At 34.0% G+C, this 22,689-nt stretch overlaps 1 protein-coding gene across 9 annotated transcripts in view; it reads right to left on the minus strand.

Moving 5' to 3' along the window:
- The window catches only part of SCN7A (sodium voltage-gated channel alpha subunit 7), a 90,677-nt gene that overhangs the window by 43,346 nt on the left and 24,642 nt on the right, over nucleotides 1–22,689 (minus strand). For all 9 annotated transcript variants that reach the window (NR_045628.1, XM_006712680.3, NM_002976.4 and 6 more), the window contains 5 exons: nucleotides 18,863–19,069; nucleotides 18,544–18,613; nucleotides 15,471–15,612; nucleotides 9,952–10,158; nucleotides 694–790 (listed from right to left, as the gene is read on the minus strand). Coding sequence is in view for 8 of the 9 variants with exons in the window: in XM_006712680.3 (XP_006712743.1) it covers nucleotides 694–790; nucleotides 9,952–10,158; nucleotides 15,471–15,612; nucleotides 18,544–18,613; nucleotides 18,863–19,069 (723 nt within the window). In the remaining variant the exon portion in view is untranslated. The remainder of the gene's footprint in view (nucleotides 1–693; nucleotides 791–9,951; nucleotides 10,159–15,470; nucleotides 15,613–18,543; nucleotides 18,614–18,862; nucleotides 19,070–22,689) is intronic.

Below are 22,689 nucleotides of genomic sequence, written 5' to 3' on the forward strand. Positions count from 1 at the left end.
TGCATGCGGAGCTTAAGACCTGGATGATGGGTTGATGGATGCAGCAGATCATCATGGCACATGTATACCTGTGTAGCAAACCTGCACGTCCTGCACATGTATCCCAGAACTTAAAGTTTAATTTAAAAAAATCTGTGTGTGAAAATAAAAAAGCTGAATGAATTGAATTTCCTCTATTGTGTTCATGCTTGGCTTAGACAAAAGAAAATGAAGCGAACGTGTATTAGAAGAAAAATGTAGGGACATCTCTCAAGAAAACAAATATGGAACATAGTTGAGAACATTGTGACTTACAATGTCTAGATATACATGCTTTACAAATTAATGCCTTTTGATATTGTCCATGATAAATAATTATTGGTTACACATAAAAATATAGAGATAAGTCTAGAAGGGACCTTGAGATATTAATGTTATATACCACAATCTCTATATTTAGTCACAAGTTAATATGTCAATATGTTTTTAATGTTAAACAAAGAAAATTATTTGGTACTCTTTGGTCACTCTTTCCAATGTTTAAAACACCATGATTCTAAAATTTTTATACATGGTTTATCCTAATATTCTCAAATATTTCTTAAATTTTTGTTATTACCATCTAAGATTCTGAAGAAATTGCTGAATTTCTTTAAAAGTGAATTTTATGAGTAGTACCTTCAATAGTGAGTGTCTACTTATTTAGTACTTTACCTTCCTTATGTCTGAGAGTAGCATCTTCCAACACATCCAATGATGTGTCTGTGGAAATTGGTGACCTTTTCTTCATTTCTATTTGTATGGTCTTGGCCTGAAAAGGAATTTGATGGTTTAATACTGGCTTCCTGTCTTTGCAGGTCCAAGACTATAAGAAGGTGCACAGCCTTGCTAAAAATGCCACTTATTCTCCCGGAGCCTTTTCTTTTTATTAAATTGATACATAATCATTGTACATATTTGAGGGGTATATGTGGTATTTTCATACATGCATACAATGTATAATGATCAAGTCAGGTTAATTGGAATACATATCATCTGAAACATTTATCTTTTCTTTGTATTGATAACATTTCAATTCCTCTCCTACAGCTATTTTGAACTATATAATAAATTATTAATTAGAGTCACTGTACTATACTATTGAACACTAGATCTTATTCCTTCTATTTAACCATATTTTTTGTAGCCATTGGCTAACCTCTCTTCATACCCCCTCATACATACCCTTTGCAGGCTCTGGTAACCACCAATAAACTATCTACTTTTATGAGATCCACATTTTTAGCTCCCACATATGACTGAAAACATGTGAAGTTGGTCTTTCTGTGCCTGGCTTATTTCACTTAACATAACCTCAAGTTCCATCCATGTTGCTGCAAATGACAAGACTTTATTCTTTTTAATGGCTGAATAATACTCCATTGTGTATATACTATATTTTATTTATTCATGTGTCCATTGATAGACACTTAAGTTTATTCATGTCTTGGCTATTGTGAATAATACTGTAATAAACATGGGAGTACAGATATTTCTTCAATATGCTGACTTTCTTTCTTTTGAGTACATACCCTGCAGTGGGATCCCTGGATGATATGGTAGCTCTATTTTTAGTTTTTTGAGGAACCTCCATACTGTTTCCATAATGGCTGTACTAACTTACAATCCCACTAATAGCGTTCCAAAAGAATTTTTGGGTTTTATCACTTGCCAATCTTTAGGCAGTTATTAAACTGATTTAGGAGTTCTTAAAATTAAATAAAATTTTATACTGTGAGGTCTGAGGTCAAATACAAAAGGAGCAAGACCAGGAAATGGTTGTGGTATGATCCATATTTGACAAGTAATTCAATATATAGTTTAGGATTATTGCAAAGTATCAAATCAGGAAACATAGTACTAAGTAATAACAGAGTATTTTTCTAACATCTTAAACTTTTTTAGGATAATGTTAACTTTATAACTTTGTAAATGCTCTTGACAAAATAAAAAATTATTTGGCATTGTGATAAGTCTTGAAGAATAACAAGTAATGGAATGGATTTATAAGGGTTGTCTTAGATAGACCATGTATGATATTAAATGAGTAGGACAGGCATAATTCTGTAAGATAATTACTTATTTTTGTTTATCATGTCTCTTGAATAATGGTTTTAAGAGATCTTCTGCTTTACTGATTTTACATTGGTAAGACAGTTAAAACTCCCAGGCTTTGTTGTAGATATTACAAATTCTATGCATTGATAACTCTCAGGAGTGTGGCCATAGATGTTTCCAGTGATCAGATGTAAAACAGTATTTGAATTTAAATTTTTAGAACCAGACAATGGATGGATGATATTACACTATAGTGATCCCTGTTTTTACATTTGACACAAGCAAAGGATGATATATCTGTATATTTGTTAACTTGAGGTAAAGGCTGCTCTTGAATAGAGTTAACTGACATAGGGGCTGCCACTGTCCCAGCACTGAGGGAGTTAATGGTTGAGGCTTGCCAATACCCAACCCAACATTCTGGTTGGCAAGTTCTGCTGTGGTATATCTTAAATGGCATAATAGATACCATGGAAATCATTATATTATTTCACTATCAGTCAAGCCCCCTGTAATTTCACAAATACTAGAGCTAGAGGAGGATAAAGCCAATTATACTGCATACTGTGTTTCCTCAGACCAGCGACAGACTCTGCAGGTCTACAGAGCTCCAGTTCCTCTTTTTTTTCCAGTGGGTAAAGTACCTGAACAGACACTTCCCCAAAGAAGGTATACTGTGGTCAACACATACATGATAAAATGCTCAACCTCAGTAATCATTAGAGAAAAGAAAGTCAAAACCACAATAAGAAATCATCTCCCACCAGTAAGAAGGACTATTACTAAAAAGACCAAAAAAAACAAAAACAAAAACAAAAACAAAACAGATGTTGGTGAGGTTGTGGAGAAATTGGAATGCTTGTACACTGCTAGTGGGAATGTAAGTTCAGCCAATGTGGAAAGCAGTTTGGATATTTCTCAAATAACTTAAAACAGAGTTACCATTAGAGCCAGCACCCCCAATACTGAGTATATACCCAAAGGAATATAAATCATTCTACCAAAAAGACACACTCACTTGTATGTTAATCACAGCACTATTCACAACAGCAAGGACAAGGGATCAATCCAGATGCCCATTAACAGTAGACTAAATAAAGAAAATGTAGTACCCTGGAATACTATACCACTCTAAAGAAGAACAAAATCATGTCCTTTGCAGCTTGATGAACATGGACGCAGCTGGAGTCCATTATCCTAAGCCAGTTAATGCAGGAACAGAAAACCAAATACCATACGTTCTCACTTTTAAGTGACAGCTAAACTTTGTGTACACATGGACATTAAGATGGGAACAACAGACATCGGGCACTGGGGACTACTAGAGGGGGAAGGCTTGCGGGTGGGCAAGGGTTGAAGGACTGCCTATCGCTCACTACCTGGGTGATAGGATCATTCCTACACCAAACCTCAGTGACATGCAATTTGCCCATGTAACGCCTGCACATGTACCCTCGAATCTAAAATAAAAGTTGAGAAAAAGAAAAGAAATTTAAAAAAAAAGTAATCTAAAAGTTCAGGATGTGGACGGGTGTGGTGGCTCACGCCTGTAATCCCAGCACTTTGGGAGGCCGAGGCGAGCAGATCACGAGGTCAGGAGATCATCCTGGCCAACATGGTGAAACCCCGTCTCTACTAAAAATACAAAAATTAGCTGGATGTGTTAGGGCGCGCCTATAGTCCCAGCTACTCGGGAGGCTGAGGCAGGAGAGTTGCTTGAACCTGGGAGGCAGAGGTTGCAGTGAGACCAGATTGCGCCACTGCACTCCAGCCTGGCGACAGAGTGAGACTCTGTCTCAAAAAAGTTCAGGATGTAAGGGTTAGATTTTTTTTGTTTGTTTAAACTATGCTTATTCTAGAAACTATTCTTAGCTGAACTATAAGATTACATAAAATGTAAGTTGTAATTTATGCAATTCCAAATTTTCGTGAGATTAAAAACCAATAGAAGTAATTTTTTGTTATTAAGATCCGACGGGGATTTCTTATATGTATCTCTCATAAAGATGACACTGTGTGACATATTGAATAATATCCTTGAATATATCCTTAATTGAGATGAATTAATTACTCTTCATAGAGCTGTTTCAGATAGGGACAATGTTTGTTGGAATCGCATTAAGAAGCAATTCAGTAAAGATAACTGTCCAGGGTTGGGGAATGGGGAATAAAGTACATGGTAATAATATTGTCGTTGATAAAGTCAGTGCTCAATTCTCTACTAATTTGGCTTCAACTATGGATAGATTTTAGAATATGAAATGAATAAACCACAGGTCTGTCTAGTAATATATTTACCTTGATTGAGCTTCTTATAAATACTGAATAAATGCCCACACATTGGTCAAATACTAAGGATATAGCTATTTTACAGTGAAAATTGAGAGGATTGTTACTCAACACCCTTCCTCTGTGGATATTTAAGAGCTAATAAGGGCATATGCCTGAACTTTTGACAACCCAATATTAAAATTAAACTGGAAAAGGGGGCTAGGATTCTTTTTCTCAAAACTAGTTTAAGTATTTTTTGGAGGGGAGGTAGTAATAAGGAAGAACTTAGTCACATGTCTCACATTTACCTGAATATCTGACAAGTTTGTCATGGACTCAGGGTTACTCTTTCCTGCAGCCATGCTGGCCTTTTTACTTCTCTGACTCACCCTGCCCACTCCATCTATTTAGCCTGGACACATTCTTCACATCTCAACTGAAGTGTCAGTTTCTCATAGAAACCTTTTCCGACTCAGAGAATCCTTTACAAAAGGCCCTCAAAGGACCATGCCTCTCTGCTTCATTCCACTTGCCCCAGTTTCCTTTAATTTATTAAAGCAGAGAATAATGTGAACCACCAAGTAACTAATATCCAGCCTCAACAATTATTAGTGGTCTATTTTTCCTTTTTCATTTATTCACTCTACTTATTTTCTGAAATATTTATTTTAAATAAATTTCAGAGATAATACACTTTTCAGATAAAATATTAAAAATATAAATCACAACACCATTATCACAATTAGCAAAATTAGTAATTCCTTAATACTAACCAATACTCAAATTATACTCAATTTAATTACTCAAAAACATCATTACAGTTGATTTGTTCTAATCAAAATACAAACAAGGTCCAAACATTTACTTGGCAGTTTTATCAATTATCTTGTAATTTTAATTTATTTTTTCCAACATGATTTATTTTTTAAAGATTCTGGGTTGTTTATACTTTAGACTTTTTCACATTCTTTATTTGGAAGATTATATCATTTCAGTGTAATTTAATGTATTCCTCTCTTACAGTCTCTGAGAAAAAAAAGCAATTGGATCAAGATGCTTATTAGACTTAAATTTTAGGAAGAATATACTGTATCTGGTATTTTGTGTTTTCTATTCCATAATAGCTAGAAACACATAATTTTTTGTCCTTCAGATACAATTTAGTGTTTATGATAATTTGATAGTCTATCTATCCATTAGACAATTAGCTTCATGAAGATAGACACTCTATTTGTATTTATTAAAACTCTTTATATCCAGTGCTTTGTACAATTGTCAATCATTTTTTAATTCGTTACATGAATTATGACTATCATTTTAATGTGGCAAATATTTTTTAAAAATATTTGTATTTCTACAATTTTATATACATGATTATCTTCCTGAGATTTTGCCAGTAGTTGACAATTCATAAGAAAGTTTCACCTGCAAGGAATGAAACTGTTTCAGCACTGAACCTCCAGAACCAGGAAGTGAAGTGGTAAATGATGGATTGTATTCCTCAGTGTTGTGAAATCAAATATCAGTGAGTATAGATCAATCTCTGCAGCTGGAACTCCTCAATAAGGATTAAACTTGAAAATTCATGATGGTACTTATCATATGTCTGGTGCATATCTGACACTCAATAAACATTTTATGTGACTGCTATCGTCATTTTTATTGTTATTTTAATTATCCCTAAATATAGTCAAAGACAAGAATTTTATGTTGCTGGGTGTTTCTCTGTTGAAACAGCCATGCGTTCTTGTGTTTGCCTTGTTGTGTTATCTATAATTAACGAGTGATTATTTATGAACTTTATTAACATGAATTACATTTTATAGTATAATAACATAAACATTTTAATATCTTGTTTAATATTATGGCTAGTTCTACATTTCCCACTTTGGAGACTGAACCTCAGTTTTCTTATGTGAAATATTGAGATAATTCCAGTACCTCAAAGGGTTGTCACAGTAGAAAGGCAACAGTGTATGTAAAAATTTAGCATAGAGTCTGAAACACAGTAAATAAGCAATAAATGTTGCATGATATTAATGTTATTATATTGTTATGAGATAATTCACTTCTAAAATGTGAGTTTATTCAATCTGACTTTTTCCATAAAAATCAAGTGTTCTTAATATAGATTGCTGACCGCAATAGTTTGTATAAAAGCTATCTTCTACATGATGCATAATATTGACATGTCATAATAATTTTATTAATAGTCTTCATAAAATTTTTTCAGTTGCTTAGTATAGTGTAAGCACAGCTTAGTGCTTTACATGCATTTATTTCATTTGGACCTCACTACAACCCATAAGATAGGTTCTTTATATACATTTTACAGATAAAAAAGTTGAAGTTTAGAAAAGCTAACAAACTTGGCAAACATCATTCATCTATTAAGTAGCTAAATTAGGCTGAAATCCATATTTATCTAACTGCAGAGCTGTGCTTTTAGCCAATATGACCAACAGTTTTCCTATAACATGAGGATATGAAGCACCTAAGCAATATCCCGGCAATTCCAGCATCAGAACTGACATCTGACTGGTTTGCAAGCAGATCAGTGACCTGTAGAGCCCTCAGTTTGTTCCATTTTACATTATTTTTTCTAATTTTTTGTATTTATAAATAAAAGAGGAAAATTCTTGTACAAATAATGTATACTCTTACTTCCTAGAAAATTCTTCATGATAAAATGTTCTAGGAATCTTCCAGGAAAAGAAATGGGTTATAATTAAACATTTTAATAAAAATCAGAAAATGGGATCCAGAGCAGAAAAATGAGTGGAAATATGGTAAAATTGGGAAATATCCAAGTTCTTCATAAGAAGAGTTAATAAAACATTTCATCTGGGATCAGAGAAGTATTGTTACATTCTTGGATACAATTGAGTGCAGCCATAAGCCCTTAAGATTGTGAAATGCCACTTCAGAACAAATTACACATTCAACATATCATTCAAACCCTAATCACTCAATCTGAAGGACCCCGGACTCATTTCTTAGAAACAGAAAGCTTTTGAAATTTGTTTTTCTGTGGCTTACTCATATATAATGGGAATACTCAATAGGCTTTTTTATACATGTTTTCTTCACACAGTCCACAACTGCTTCTTGTTCAATGGTATGCATGTTATGGACACAAGTAGCTATAGAGTCATTCAGTATGATCTTACATCATGTCGTTCAGATTCCACCTTTTGGTACAATAGCTTTCTAAAGCTTCTTGACTGGTCATGACTTAATAAAAGGGTTATATACAGGGGAGTTAACATTTCCCTCTTTGACTTAGTAGGGACCTTTGGTATTAATGTACCTTACTATATATTCCACTTCGTGGCAGAGTGTATCTCGGCCCTTCACTTTTCCCCTTGTCTTTTTATCTCTTTATAGAGAGGGCTCCGGGTATGGCTTCTCTCTATTTTTCGTTCTCTGGCTCAATATAGACCTTTTTCCCATTTATCAGAAAGGTAGTTCAAAGAAGAGATGTGAGATTGCCAGGTCCTGCAGAATATTAGAAAGCTACTTCTGTTTGCTTTCTACCATCTGGTCCTTTCTTTAAGCACACTTATGGCAGTTTAGATTTTTAAAGACAATTTTCGAAAACTTCCTTAATGCTACTTCTGTCAATACTTTCAAACTAATAGACCAAAGTTTTTGCTATGAGGCTAAAGAATCTGAAAAAAATATTAAAGCACAACACTAAGGTAATTGACAATTACAGTAAAACATTGTTAGGCTTTATTAATCTGGATTTAATTATTTCAGGAATAAAATAATTCCCTGTACTATGATACATAGTGCATTTCCTCTGGAAAGAACTAGAAAGCCAATAAAGTAATTTTATTTCTGTCTACAACTTCAGTACTGTAATTTTATCCATCCTTTTAGTACTTTCTAATTTCTAAATTATGGAAGGTTCTGTCACTTTTGCATTAACACCAGACATTTTTCAAAGTTGTAGCAAAAGCAAGCTCTCTTATTGAAATATTTTTTGATCTTCTGATTATGTACCACACACAGATATAAACATCTATTAGAAGGCAATGTACTCCAAGACCTTAAAAAGACACCTCTAGCACTGTGATTTTAAGAAGCATTAGAAAAAAAAAAATGAAACCATGTCATTTGCAGCAACATGGATGCAGCTGGAGGCCATTATCCTAAGTGAATTAACACAGGAACAGAAAACTAAATACTGCATGTTCTCAGTTACTAAGTGGGGGCTCAGCACTGGGCAAACATGGACCTAATAATGGGAACAACAGACCTTGGGGACTACTAGAGGGGGAAGAGAAGGGGAAGGGCAAGGGCTGAAAAACTGCTTGTTGGGTACCAAACGCTACCTGGGTGATGGGATCATTTGTACCCCAAGCCTCACTGTCACACAATATACCCACATAACAAACCTGCACATGTAGCCCCTGAATCTAAAAGTTGAAATTTTGAGATATGTTCCATCAATACCTAGTTTATTGAGTGTTTTTAGCATGAAGGGGTGTTGAATTTTATCGAAGGCCCTTTCTGCATCTATTGAGATAATCATGTGGTTTTTGCCACTGATTCTGTTTATGTGATGGATTACATTTATTGTTTTACTTATTTTGAACCAGGCTTGCATCCCAGATATGAAGCCGACTTGATCATGGAGGATAAGCTTTTTAATGTGCTGCTGGATTTGGTTTGCCAGTATCGTTAGACTACATAAAGAAAATGTGGCACATATACACCATGAAATACTATGCAACCATGAAATACTATGCAGCCATGAAAAAGAATGAGTTCACATCCTTTGCAGGGATATGGATGAAGCTGGAAACCATCATTCTTAGCAAACTAACACAGGAAAAGAAGACCAAACACCGCATGTTCTCACTCATAAGTGGAAGTTGAACAATGAGAGCACATGGGCACAGGGAGGGGAACATCACACATCAGGACCTGTCGGGGGTGGGGGCAAGGGGAGCAATAGCATTAGGAGAAATATCTAATGTAGATGACAGGTTGATGGGTGTGGCAAACCACCATGGCAGATGTATACCTATGTAACAAACCTGCACGTTCTAGGCATATATCCAGAACTGGACATATATCCAGTATAATAATAATAAAAAGATGCTCTAATAAAGCAACTATTTAAAATTCCAAAAAGGGTTGAAATTATAAAAAATTTAAAAATTTAAAACTGCATAGAAAAATAAAAGAACACCACCATCACTGAGAAAAGGAACTAAAACCCAAACAAAAAAATATCATAAGTGTGGTAGATTATTTGCAAAAATGGCCACAAATTTCCTTCTTTTTATTTATACCCTTAGGAAATCTCTTTCCACCTTAACTCTAACCTTGGCCATGTTACTTGCTTTACCCACTGGACAATAACAAATGTTGACACAAGCAGAGCCTTAAAGCACTTGGCATGGTGCTTGCTCCCCTGCTGTTTTTTGGAATCTGTGACCACCATGGGACCAGCAATGAACTGTCTTAACAGAGCCTAAGCCATAGAATCATGAGCAAATAAATGATTGCTGTTTCAAGACTAAAATATATATATATATATATATATATATAGATAGATAGATAGATAGATAGATAGATAGATATAGATACCTCATCTGTTTCATTTCCTTCTTGAAGTTCTTTTCCAGTCTGTTGAAATTTTGGTTCAATCTTCTTAGATATTTCACCAACTCTCTGCTTTTCTTCTTCATAGGCCATGGCAAGTATGCCTAAGAACAAACTTGCCATATAAAAGGAAAACAAAAAACTTACCACCACAAAAAATATCATGTAGACCTTCCCAGAAGCATAAAGTATCTAAGGAAAGGTAGAAAGTAAGGCAAAAGAGTAAAATGTTATTTATCTTCCAGGATTCTCCTATTTTAAAATAAAAGGCAAAATTTTATTAGGAAAATAATATAGTCATAAATGGAATGTAATCATAAGACTGTTTAAGCACTGGCTCCACCTGAAGAAATAAATGAAAACCTTTTGAACTTGAGACCTGCATGTAAGGTATACAATATATGCTGTAAAACCAAGGGAAAATTAGTAATTTAATTAACTTAAGGTAAGTATTCGATTTTTATGTCTTCATTGATAGAGAAAATACATTTGAAATAATTGTCATCTCTTGATATAGAAACTGGACAGCCTCAACATGGAAAGTTATTTTCTTTGCAGAAGAATCTTTAAATATATGAAGTTTAATGAAGTCAGAGAATGTTTGGAGATTTTTTTTTTCTGATTATTACTTTATGGAAAAATCACAGCAAAGTAAAAAATTAGTCTTTACAAGGAATGGAGAGCAGGACTATTTCTTTGCCTGTCAAAGTATCTGCTTTGGTGAAGAACCTTTAGACAAGCTACATGGGGAAGTCAAATTATCCATTTACATGAAGGCATTGCAGTGGATGACATTTATAGATAGCAAAATACAACATTTTAGATTGCCAAACACAGCACTGACTAGCTTTTTATTTCATAATAATTTCCTAAGACAGATCAGAAAATTAAAAGATTTAAAAAATTATAAGTATAACATTACAAATATAAAATATCCATTGATTTAACCTCATTGATCAAAAGTACATGAACAAAATTTAAGGAAACAAATGAGAAATTAAATTAATAGAAAAGTATTATCTACAGAAAATATTGTGTGGATGTAACAATCAAGAATATTTACAGATTAATAGAGAGTTCAAACATTCAATGAGAAATAATTTCTTGACCTAGAGTCTATTTGTCTTTAAAAGTATTTTTAATAAGCCCTGTTATCACAGTGAGCAACCTATTTAGGATTGGTTAAATATTTTACCACTGAAGTACCTGTTATTTATTGTAGTGCATTCAGCAGTCAGGAATAGGTATTATAAAGTACATTGCAAATCCCATCTCTACTAAAAATACAAAAAAAATAGCTGGATGTGGTGGCATTTGCCTGTAGTCCCAGCTACTCAGGAGGCTGAGGTGGGAGGATCACCTGAGCCCAGGGTGGCTGAGGCTGCTGTGAGCCATGATCACACCACTGAACTCCAGCCTGGGTGACAGAGTGACCATGTATCAAAAAAAAAAAAAAAAAGTACCCTTTAGGCCATGCACATCAGTAAATAGAGTTGGTTCCAAGTATTCATGGGTTCCATATCTGTGGATTCAACCAACCACGCATCAAAACTATACATATTAAAATTTTATCTATATTGAACATATAGACTTTTTATCTTGTCATTATGAACAATATAGTGTAACAACTATACAGTCTCATACCACATAATAACATTTAGGTCAATGACCAGCAGCATATACAACAGTGATCTCAAAAGATTCCAAAGGAGCTGTTCTATATAGGCATATCAATTTTTTGGTTTTTTATACTATGTTTTTACTGTATCTTTTATATGCCTACCTATACAAATACTTGGCACAGTGTTCCAATTGCCTACAGTATTCAGTATAATTACATGGTGTACAGGTTTGCCGCCTAGGATCAATAGGCTATACTATATAGCCTAGGTGTATAGTAGGCTACATCATCCAGGTTTGTGTAAGCACACTCTATGATGTTCACATAATGATGAAATCACCTAATGACACATTTTTCAGAATGTATCCCTGTCATTAAGCAACACATGACTGTATTTACATAGCATTTACATTGTATTAGGTATTATGAGTAATCTAGAGATAATTTAACTTATACAGGAGAAAATTTATACAGAAGTATGTAGGTCATATGCAAATTCAATGCCATTTTACATAAGGGACTTGAGAATTCATGGATTTTAGTATCCACCAGAGGTCCTGGAACTGATCATCCATGAATACTGAAGGATAACTATACTTTATGCTTATTATCTTATTCAATATTATTTCAATATACAGAAGACAAATGAAAATCAGATAGGAAAAAAAGCTCCCAAGATCTCACAGCCTATGAAGGAATGCCTGAATTCAGAACTTTTGCTGTCTCCACTATATAATGCTAGTGGAGCATAAAAGCATATACTCTTGTTAGCATAAAACAGTACATAATTTCTAGTTTTATTACATTTTAGTTTGAAATAGGGGCTAACTATGGCCCCTATTTCAATGTTTTTTATGAATATAAAATGAAACATTATACACAAAGATCTTAGCACATCCCAGGTTCCCAATAAATATTAGCTATACTGTAAACATAATTTTGTTCCCTGAGGTTTGACACTGTTTTGTTCATTTCTGTACCCACAGTATATCAGAATACTTGGATAAAATAAATATATTTTGAATTAATGGAAAACAATAATATCCAAAACATATGCTATACTCTTTGGGAAGAATTGCTAAATTTCCCTATCCATAATTAGTTCAGTTTAAGGCAATGTTCAGGATACAAATCTAGATAAAATCAAAACAAACTCTATCTATATTAGTCAGTAAAAACTTGGAGTACACTATTCCCAATAGCAAAGACTTGGAACCAATCCAATGCCCATCAACGTTAAACTGGATAAAGAAAATGTGGCACATATACACCATGGAATACTATGCAGCCATAAAAAAGAATGAGTTCATGTCCTTTGCAGGCACATGGATGAAGCTGGAAACCATCATTCTCAGCAAACTAACACAAGAACAGAAAACCAAACACCACATATTCTCACTCATAAATGGGAGTTGAATAATGAGAACATATGGGCACAGGGAGGGGAACATCACGTACCAGGGGGCCTGTCAGAGGGTGGGAGGAAGGGGAGGGATAGCATTAGGAGAAATACCTAATGTAGATGACGAGTTGATGGGGTGCAACAAACCACCATGGCACATATATACCTAAGTAACAAATCTGCACATTCTGCACATGTATCCCAGAACTTAAAGTATAAGAAACAAACAAACAAAAACTTGGAGTACAATAATGAAGATCCTGAGGGCCCTAATGGCAGGACACTTCCAGACTGGTTCCCTATTTCTTTTGTAGAGGGAAAGAACTGTCTTGAAACAAACGCTAACAAGAAAATTAATTCATACATTTTGGGGGCAATAAGTGAAGAGCAAAACCTGTATTATTATAGCATATACAGTGATATAGCCCATACATATTCACTTATATTTTTATTAAAGTTCCATTAAGAATTCTATGTGTAGATGCTGAGAAATCAAAAAAATTAAAATAAGACAAAAATACTTATTTTTTTTCTCAGATAGATAAAAAATTAGCAGGTAGTTTCTCAGGTAGTTCATCTCTAAGTGGGAAAATAACCGGACAAGCAACTAAAACACCACAATCTAAGGAAAGTATAGTGAACCATAGCATTCCAGTGTAGGATGTGCCTTACTCCTACACTGGGCTTGGGGAAAAGCTCAAGGAAGAAATCATGGTTTCACAGCATAAATTTGAAGCCTGAAACTGAAGGCAGATAGGAGGAAACTTAAATTTAGGGAGAGGGTACAACATACATGGAAATATGATATTATGAGAAAAGCTCATTTAGGAAGCAGCAAATCCTTTGAATAATTAAACAGAGAGTATATATTAGAGTATGTTAAGAAATAAATCAGGAGATGTAGGCAGATGAGACCTTGAAGGGCACTATATATCATGCATATAGAGTTGGAATTTGAAAAACACTGAAGGATTTTTAGAAGAAGGGTAATGTGATAAGATTATTTTAGAAATAAGAACCTCCTAATGTTTTGGAGAAAGCACTGAATCTTATCAAAGAGACTGGAAATACCAATGCAAGTACTAGTCTAACAAAATTACAAAAATATAGTTTGTGTAAAAATGTCACTTGTAATATTTTCTTTTTTTTTTTTTTTTTTTTTTTTTACCAAAAATACAATTATGCTGCATGCATGTTTGGTCTATTTGATTTCCATTTAACAATATATTATGAAACTTTGTCTGTGCCCCAAATATATTATATTAGCCTATCATCATTAATGACCCATATATACACATATATTGCCCACAATTTATCAAGTCAACCAAAATAAGCATGGACTGGATGTGTATGTATGTTTGTTTAAAAATAAAGAATGTTCTCCTTCAACTATGAATAACTTCAGAAGTTAGAGTAATGCTGCTTTGAAAATAACACTATTTTCTACTATGATAGAACTTATCTTTGAAGAAAAACTGAATCCCCATTTTCATGAATATCATACCTTTCTGAGAAACTATGACACATACATAATTAGTTACGAATACAGACTCTCAGAATTTGAATTTCAATTCTCATTACAGTAAGCCTTCTGTTATTGTAACTGGAACATGGTTGAATATTGAACTGGATAAGAAGAAATAGAAGAACAAAAAGAAACAGGACACTGTATATATTCAATAAATAATTGCTTAAGATATGGTAATGTCATAAATTCAAAATGTTTCAACTAAAGAATTAATACCTAGATATGTTCTTTAGTGATTACCAAATGCATAATATCATAGGCTTTGAAACAAGACAGTGATCTGAGATCTGGGAGGTTCAACTGCTATAAATTTTGGGAGGGTACTCGACCTCTCTAAATCTTAGTGTCTTCATATAAAAAGCACACACACACAGCTGGGCGAGGTGGCTCACACCTGTAATCCCAGCTCTTTGGGAGGCTGAGGCGGGAGGATCATGAGATCAGGAGATCAAGACCATCCTGGCTAATACGGTGAAACCCCTCCTCTACTGAAAATACAAAAAATTAGCCGGGCGAGGTGGCGTGCGCCTGTAGTCCTAGCTACTCGGGAGGCTGAGGCAGGCGAATGGTGTGAAGCCGGGAGACGGAGCTTGCAGTGAGCTGAGATTGTGCCACTGCACTCCAGCCTGGGTGACAGAGTGAGACTCCGTCTCAAAAAAAAAAAAAAAAAAAAAGCACACATACAAATACACACACTCTCTTCTCTCTCTCCTCTCTTCTCTCTCTCTCTCTCTGACCTTGTAGAATTGTTTCAAAGATTAAATAAGATATAATACACCTGGCAATGTGGCCAGCATATAATTTGACATTCAGTAATTCTAGTTCTCTTTTCTTTTGTCTTCCAATTCTTCTGCACATAAAAATTTAAAAAACTATATTACATTTGACCATTATCTTAGAAGCAAGGGCATGGTGCCATTCCTAAGTACAGTACAATTTCTCTCTGTTCTTACCTGGTGATAAAGTACTTCAGGGTAATCCTGAGCCATTAACCGAAATAGGGCAAATAAGGCCCAGCCAAAACTGTCAAAATTTGTGAAGCCTTGATCAGGATTTATGCCAGCTTTTACACACACATATCCTTCAGGACACTGACTAAAGAAGACAAAGAAAAAAACCTGCTTACTATTAGGTGACTATCAGATTATGGTCAAATCATAAATATAGAACATCAGTCCTGAGTAATAGAGAACTCACGCTTCCACAGGGAGAGTAATGTCTGCTCCCAAACAATTGCTTGCTAAAAAGTCACACATGAGTTAGATTATAAGTTGATACAGTGAACAGTGTTAATTAAGCGAAAATAAAAAGGGGCCTGAAAAGTGGTTTTTGCCAAGCTATTTTTTTTGTATTTCTTTATTTTTTCATTGACAAAGAGAAACTGTACATATTTGTGAAGTACAACATGCTGTTTTGAAATATGTATATATTGTGGAATGGCCAAATGGAGCTAATTAGCATATGCATACCTCACATACTTATTTTTTTGTGGTGAGAATACTTTAAATCTATCGTCTTATCATTTTTCAAGAATAAAATACCTTGTATTAACTATATCTTTACTACTCCAATATTAAAGGGGAAATATCTGAACATCAGAGTGAAGGTATAACTGATGGAAAATAGTACTGATACAACTGCAATGGTTGAGGGTATAATTTTCAAATGACTTCATGTAAAGCCCTTAGAACCCATTATTTAAGGGTGAGAAAACATTTATCGCATCAATAATTTATAAGCAGTATTTGCACATGGGGAGGCAGATCAAATTAAATATTTATTTTATTTCCTTTTAGGGAGTCCTCATATTTCTATCCACTTGGGAGTTTCGGTCTTGTGTTCCATTATTACAGTGGCAGTCCAGTAAATCATGCTTCCTCTCTCCACGCCCTTGTGTAGTTTTCTCTCACATTATTTTGGGTTTAGTCATGTTACTTGTTGTAGTTTTAATGGAACAAGGAGAGATTTAAAAATCACTTGTGCATTGGGACTTGCTACATTGCTGACCCATACTATCTGAGCAAATGAAGTATTGTTGTTGTCTTGTTGTTTTGGGATAGTTTACCATGCAGCCAAGTATGACTGCTGCAGGTGAAACACTGCATGACTTTCTCTTCTTGCCTTGAAATATACCATTGTATCCTGAATATCCATGACCATGTGTATCCAAAATATAGCCAAAATGTATTTCGGGTCATATTTGAGCTTGGAATGTACATAAAAGGAATTAGCTGAAATGGGATGGGACAGATACAAAGAGATGGGTTCACCATTTGGATATGAGAACAGAATGGGAGCCCAGCAGGAGCTGGGCAAAAAAATATGTACTGAGGCCAGGCGCAGGGTGCATTGGTTCATACCTATACACTCAGCACTTTGGGAGGCCACGGTGGGTGGATCGCTTAAGCCCAAGAGGTCAAGACTAGCCTGGGCAACACGGCGAAAACCCATCTCTACTACAAACACAAAAATCAGCCAGTAGTGGTGGCACATGCCTGTAATCCCAGCTACTTGAGAGGCAGAGGCACTAGAATTGCTTGAACCCATGAGGCAGAGGTTACAATGAGCACAGATTGTGCCACAGCACTGCAGCCTGGGCAACAGAACAAGACTCGGTCTCAAACAAACTATACATACACACATACACATATATATATGTATATATATACGACATACATATGTGTATATATACGTATATATACGAATATATACACATATATATACACATATGTGTGTATATATATGTGTATATATGTATGTGTGTGTATATATATACACACATACATACATATATGTGTGCTGAGCAAGTGAGAAAATGTCAAAATCCCCTGAATTTAACTAAACCATATAACTCATGCTCTCCTCCCCCAGAAGCCTTTTGTTAACCTGGGCACCAGAGTGTAAGAAAGAACTGAGTTTACAGATGGCTGCCAAGTCATCCCAGCTAAGCAAAGCAACAGGAGGGAATTACATGAGTCACATTGCTGAGAAGTGCCCTGTTTCCCCTTTATGAATTGTAATTTTCATCTGAAATTATAGGACAATGAGACATGACAGTTATGTCATCTCACTTAAGAATTATTTTGAAATGCTGATTTTAAGAACGAGGTTTTTACTAATGTAAATTATAGTCATAAAAACATATAAGAGATTAAATAAGTGAAATATCAGCGTATCTTTTTAATTTTTTTTTAAATGGATGTGAGGCTTTCAATGTTGCCCAGGTTGGCCTCAAACATGCAGCCTTGCCTCTTTGCACGCCAGGACAACCAGCCCGAGCTATCGCGGCTCCCATCAGCCTATCCTTAATATTTCTTTTCTCCCAAAACTTCTTTCCAAATGATAGATTTATATTGTCTTTCTTCGTCATTCTCACTAGCTCTGGAGCACTCTTGAAAACAGAAGATAAGATTCTTGTGTAAGTCCCAGCTCTGCCATTTACTAGCTTCTAGACCTTGAAGAAATCATTGAATTAGTCTGCCTATTGCTTTTTTAATAAAATTGGATGAATAGTATTCCACATTGCATACTTCTGCTATGGTCTGAATGTTTGTGTCCCCTCAACATTCATATTGAAATTCTAACTCCCAATGTGATTAGGAGATGGGGCCTTTGATAGGTGATTAGGTCACGAGGGTGAAGTCCTCTTGAATGTGATCGATATCCTCAGAGAAAAGGCCTGAGAGAAACCTCTGGCCTCGTCTGCTATGTGAGGACACAGCAAAAAGGTACCATCTATTGACCAGAGGACAGGCCTTCACCAGACACCAAACTGGCCCAGCACCTTGATCTGGACTTCTCAGCTTCCCCGACTGTGAGTAATACACTTCTGTTGTTTTTAAACCAACCAGTCTGTGGTATTTTGTTAATGCAGCCTGAGTAGACTAAGACAACTTCTCAGTATGGTTTTGATGATGAAATGAGATAATACAATCAAATGGGAAGCAACAGTAAAAGCAATAGTCCTTCATTAAATACTATTGACAGGTGATAATGATTTAATAGAATAAAACTAATACCACCTACCCAGCATCTGTCCTGTTGCCACAAAGGAGAGCATATCTTTCTCCTTCCAAATAATAAAAGTTTTCTGTTTCTGAAAAACAGGCAAGAAATGATATTCTATATGTAATTATGAGTTAGCACCACAGTAGAAGTCCATTTGGATCTCTGCAGAAGCTAAAATACCTTTCTGCAATTGTGAAGAAAAGAGCAAATATCCTTGCCTTTCAACCAGCGCCTTTGGGAATCTAACAAAATGTTGAGTGTTCAACATTTCTGGGAAGACTGCTTTGCCTTTAACGAAAGTTTCAATTTTTGATATACATGGCAAGGTGATTCTTACCTCGAATATAATATGGGTTTCCAGTTCTGTTGTGCAGGGTTTCATTTTCATTCTCTTGGGGCCATCGAAAACATTTATGTTTCAAGTTGCCCATGAAGAGCCCCATCCCAATTAGAGAAAATATGCTCAGAAAAAACAGAGTTAGGATAATGACACCAATAAGCTGCTTCAAGCAGTGGATCAGGACCCCTACAAGGGATTTCAGACCTGGAAAGAGAAACATTTGTTTTCGAAATAATGTAATATCTTAGAAAAGCACTATTGGCAAACCTCTCCCACAGCAACTGCATACTCCATTGAAATCAACAGTTTTATCTTATAATGTAATTCTAATTATTTGGGCCTCATAAATAAAGTGAATACTAAATCAAAAGTTGAGGTTTATGTATTATTGCTAATTTTTAACACCTAACAAAATAATTCAGACACACTATTTAAAATTAATCATTTGTTTGTTTCTCTTTACAAAGAAAAACAATCTCCCTCTCTTGGTATCTACTTGTCATACTAACCTCCAGTGTTTGCAAACATAAAGAAAAGTGTAAGGTTATAAATCAAAATTAAAATGTTCTTGAAAAAAGAAACAGTTTGAAACAGCAGTATTATATGTTATTCTGTAATTGACTTTATAATAATTCAATTTGAATAATTTCAATAAGCAGGAAAGAGAATAACACAACTGTGGTCTATGTAAACTGTATTTATATCAGAATACTAATAGAGAACTCAAACCTAAAGCTGGCTTTATTTAAGGATATTCATTTTTCTAATTATAAATAACACATGCTGACTTCTGAAAGTAGAAAACAAGAAAAAACAAAAATAACATAATCATATCTCATAGAATTACTATTAAATTTTTTGTATATAAACTTTCTTTCTTTCTTCCATCCTTCCCTCCCTCCTCCCTTTTCTTTTTCACTTGCTCTCTTATTTGCTAGTCTGTGTGCATTAGTATCCTAATAACTGCTCAAAACAATAATGAATGAGAATATACTAACTCTGTGATGTTAACTATGCAAGTAGTCAACATTTGTATGCCTTAGTTTTATAATTTTTTTACATGGAAATAATACCTACTTTCTATCTTATTGTGAGAATTGAAAACTGTCATTTGAATGACCTTAGATGATTAGATTTCTTGAGTAAAGTATGACAGGGTTCAAATAAAGTCATTCTTGTGACTACAGAAGTGTGATAATCTAGATTAAATATACAATTTTAATTTGACATCATAATAAAATCTATTTATAGCCTCCTTTTACCACTTAGAATTATATCATTCTTTTTACTATAAGCAAATCTTTTCAAAGTATTATACTAGATATATAATAGAACTTCTGTGTCAAATATACTACAGTGGTTTACCATTGATACACATGTTCACATAGTTTTCGAGAGATGTTGAACCAATGTATAAACCAGACTATAAGCCTTCACTAGAACTGGAACATTTTGAAATATTGTTGGCAGTTTATTAGAAAAAAATAAAATGACTTCAATGTAATTTCTGTAGTTACTATTCCAAACTTTTAAAATAGGTGTATTTGCACTGTGTGCTTATTTGGCAACTGTCATGAGTCCTTAGTATATCTTTATACTGAATTTTTTTCATATTGTTTTGTTGGAAATGTTTTTAAGAAGAGCAATTCTTAAAGAAAAATATATGTCTGTGTTTATATATATATGTGTTTTTATATATGTTTATATATATATATATACACACACACACACACAGATAGATAGATAGATAATTTCCATCATATACCCAGTTTTTGGCAGAGCCTTAATTTTACTACTGACATTTTGTTTGATGGAAAAAAATGACACCATCACATTTTTATAAAATTAAGTTTGTTAATAATTTTCATTAGTATATACTAATTATATTTTGTTAGAAAGTTCCGGGTCTTACACCAATTTCGATCTTAATTTTCTGGTATAACTTCCTCCTCCTTTTAAATTTTAACCTTTGTTTTGCTTAGCTTAAGTAAGTCTATTATAGAGTTTAATTGTATTTCTGACTTCATATTAAAGTCTCTGCCTTGATAAAAAAAATTTAAACCAATTGCATTTATTTTCATAAATTAGGTTTACACTGGAATATACCTTTACTTTTTTTTATTTCTATATTCTCCTTATTATTCACTGTGTTTCTTTTCCTTTGTCAATAAATTTACTGTGTCTATTTTTTCCTTTATTATTTTAGATAAAATACATGTTTTGAGAACTTATATCCAATTTAAGTTCCTATTTTGAAATAACATGCATATCTCTACATCAATAAGACTGTGTCTACTCAGTCCCACCACATAAGGTGAGAAAATAACTGTATTTATTTTCTTACATTTCTCTATTCTTACTTCTCAGTTTTTGTTAATATAAGTAATGACCTTTGACCTAGTTATAATTGTTGAGTTATGTATTTTGTATCACATATTATCTATCATGATTTATAGAAAGGATAAAATTCAAATCCTTACAAGGGCTTGCCAGGAAGCATAAATTCACACAAACAGAGAGTTGAGAGGACTCAGATGAATCTGCCTGACTGAAAGTGGCAGCTGTTCTTCATCTACAGCAGGTTGTTGCTGTTCATAAATGTAGGTGGACCTAACCTGACAATTCAAGTTAAATTGGATTTCAAAATAAAATCATTAAATTTTTATAATATTGACAACTATTTCAAAGTTTTCTAAAACACAAATAAAATATGTCTCTAGTTCAAGAATGAACCACGGAAGTCCATGTGGTAACTTCTGATTTGTAATATTTGCATTCTGTTTTGCAACTCACTAACAGCAGTAATTTGCAATCCATTCTGTGTCGAAATGGTTTCAGAGCTCGTTGCAATTACTTTTAGAACTAAATACTCTCATTGCTAAATATTTCATTTTCATACTTACTTTTTCAGCAGATATTCTGAAAAGATACACATGTACAGTTTGAGAACTCTTGTATAGCTGAGAACATACATTTGTTGACTACACATACAAATGACAGCCAAGTATAGAATTCTAGTGTCTCAACTTCCCTGCCTACACTTTCCCCCAAGCTCTGAAACTCCACTGTCTATTTAAGTTTACTATTAACATGCGGTCTAAGGGTGACCTGTCCACGATGTATGTTTCTTGCCCTTTTGCTTGAAGAATTTTATAATACTTTTATTCTTTAATACTTTACATTTATAACATTTTACAATATGTCTAAGTGTGTATTGTAGTTATTATTTATCTAGTATAAGCTGATCTCTTTCATTTGTAGGGTCTTTTTCCAGTTAAAATTTTTTTTAAGTTTTTTCTATTGTATATATTTCAATAATTTGTCTTTTATATTCATTCTGGTCTGTTTTCAGGATCACTGTTTATGCATAAGATGGAATTTAGTTTTTTCTCCTTCATTAATCCATTCCATTTTTCAGTTCTACTGTATTAATATAGAATTCCTCTAGTCTTTCTTTATACAAGTGTGCTTGTTTGATGCACTTATAATACTATTTTACGGCTTCCATTACCACTGAATATTCATCTAGGGTAGTGTAATTTTTATCACTTTTTTGTCTTAAAGTTAGTTATATTTGCCTATATTACTCTCTCATTTCATCTTCTGTTGAGAGAATGTAAAAAGATAATTTATTATGTATGCTTCTATTTTTAAGCACATTTATTTTAAAAGAGGATACTTTCTTTCTATTAAATATATGTTTCTCTTTCTATATTGCAAAATATTTTCATACACTCCATATTGCTGGTATGTGTCTAGTATATTCTCCCTTGAAAAAAAGAGTGAGAGGTCCCTACTAGCCTGCAGGCTTCCAACTCTAGTGA

The sequence above is a fragment of the Homo sapiens genome, chromosome 2 (genome assembly GCF_000001405.40).
Source record: "Homo sapiens chromosome 2, GRCh38.p14 Primary Assembly".
In the NCBI taxonomy this organism is placed as follows: Eukaryota; Metazoa; Chordata; class Mammalia; order Primates; family Hominidae; genus Homo; species Homo sapiens.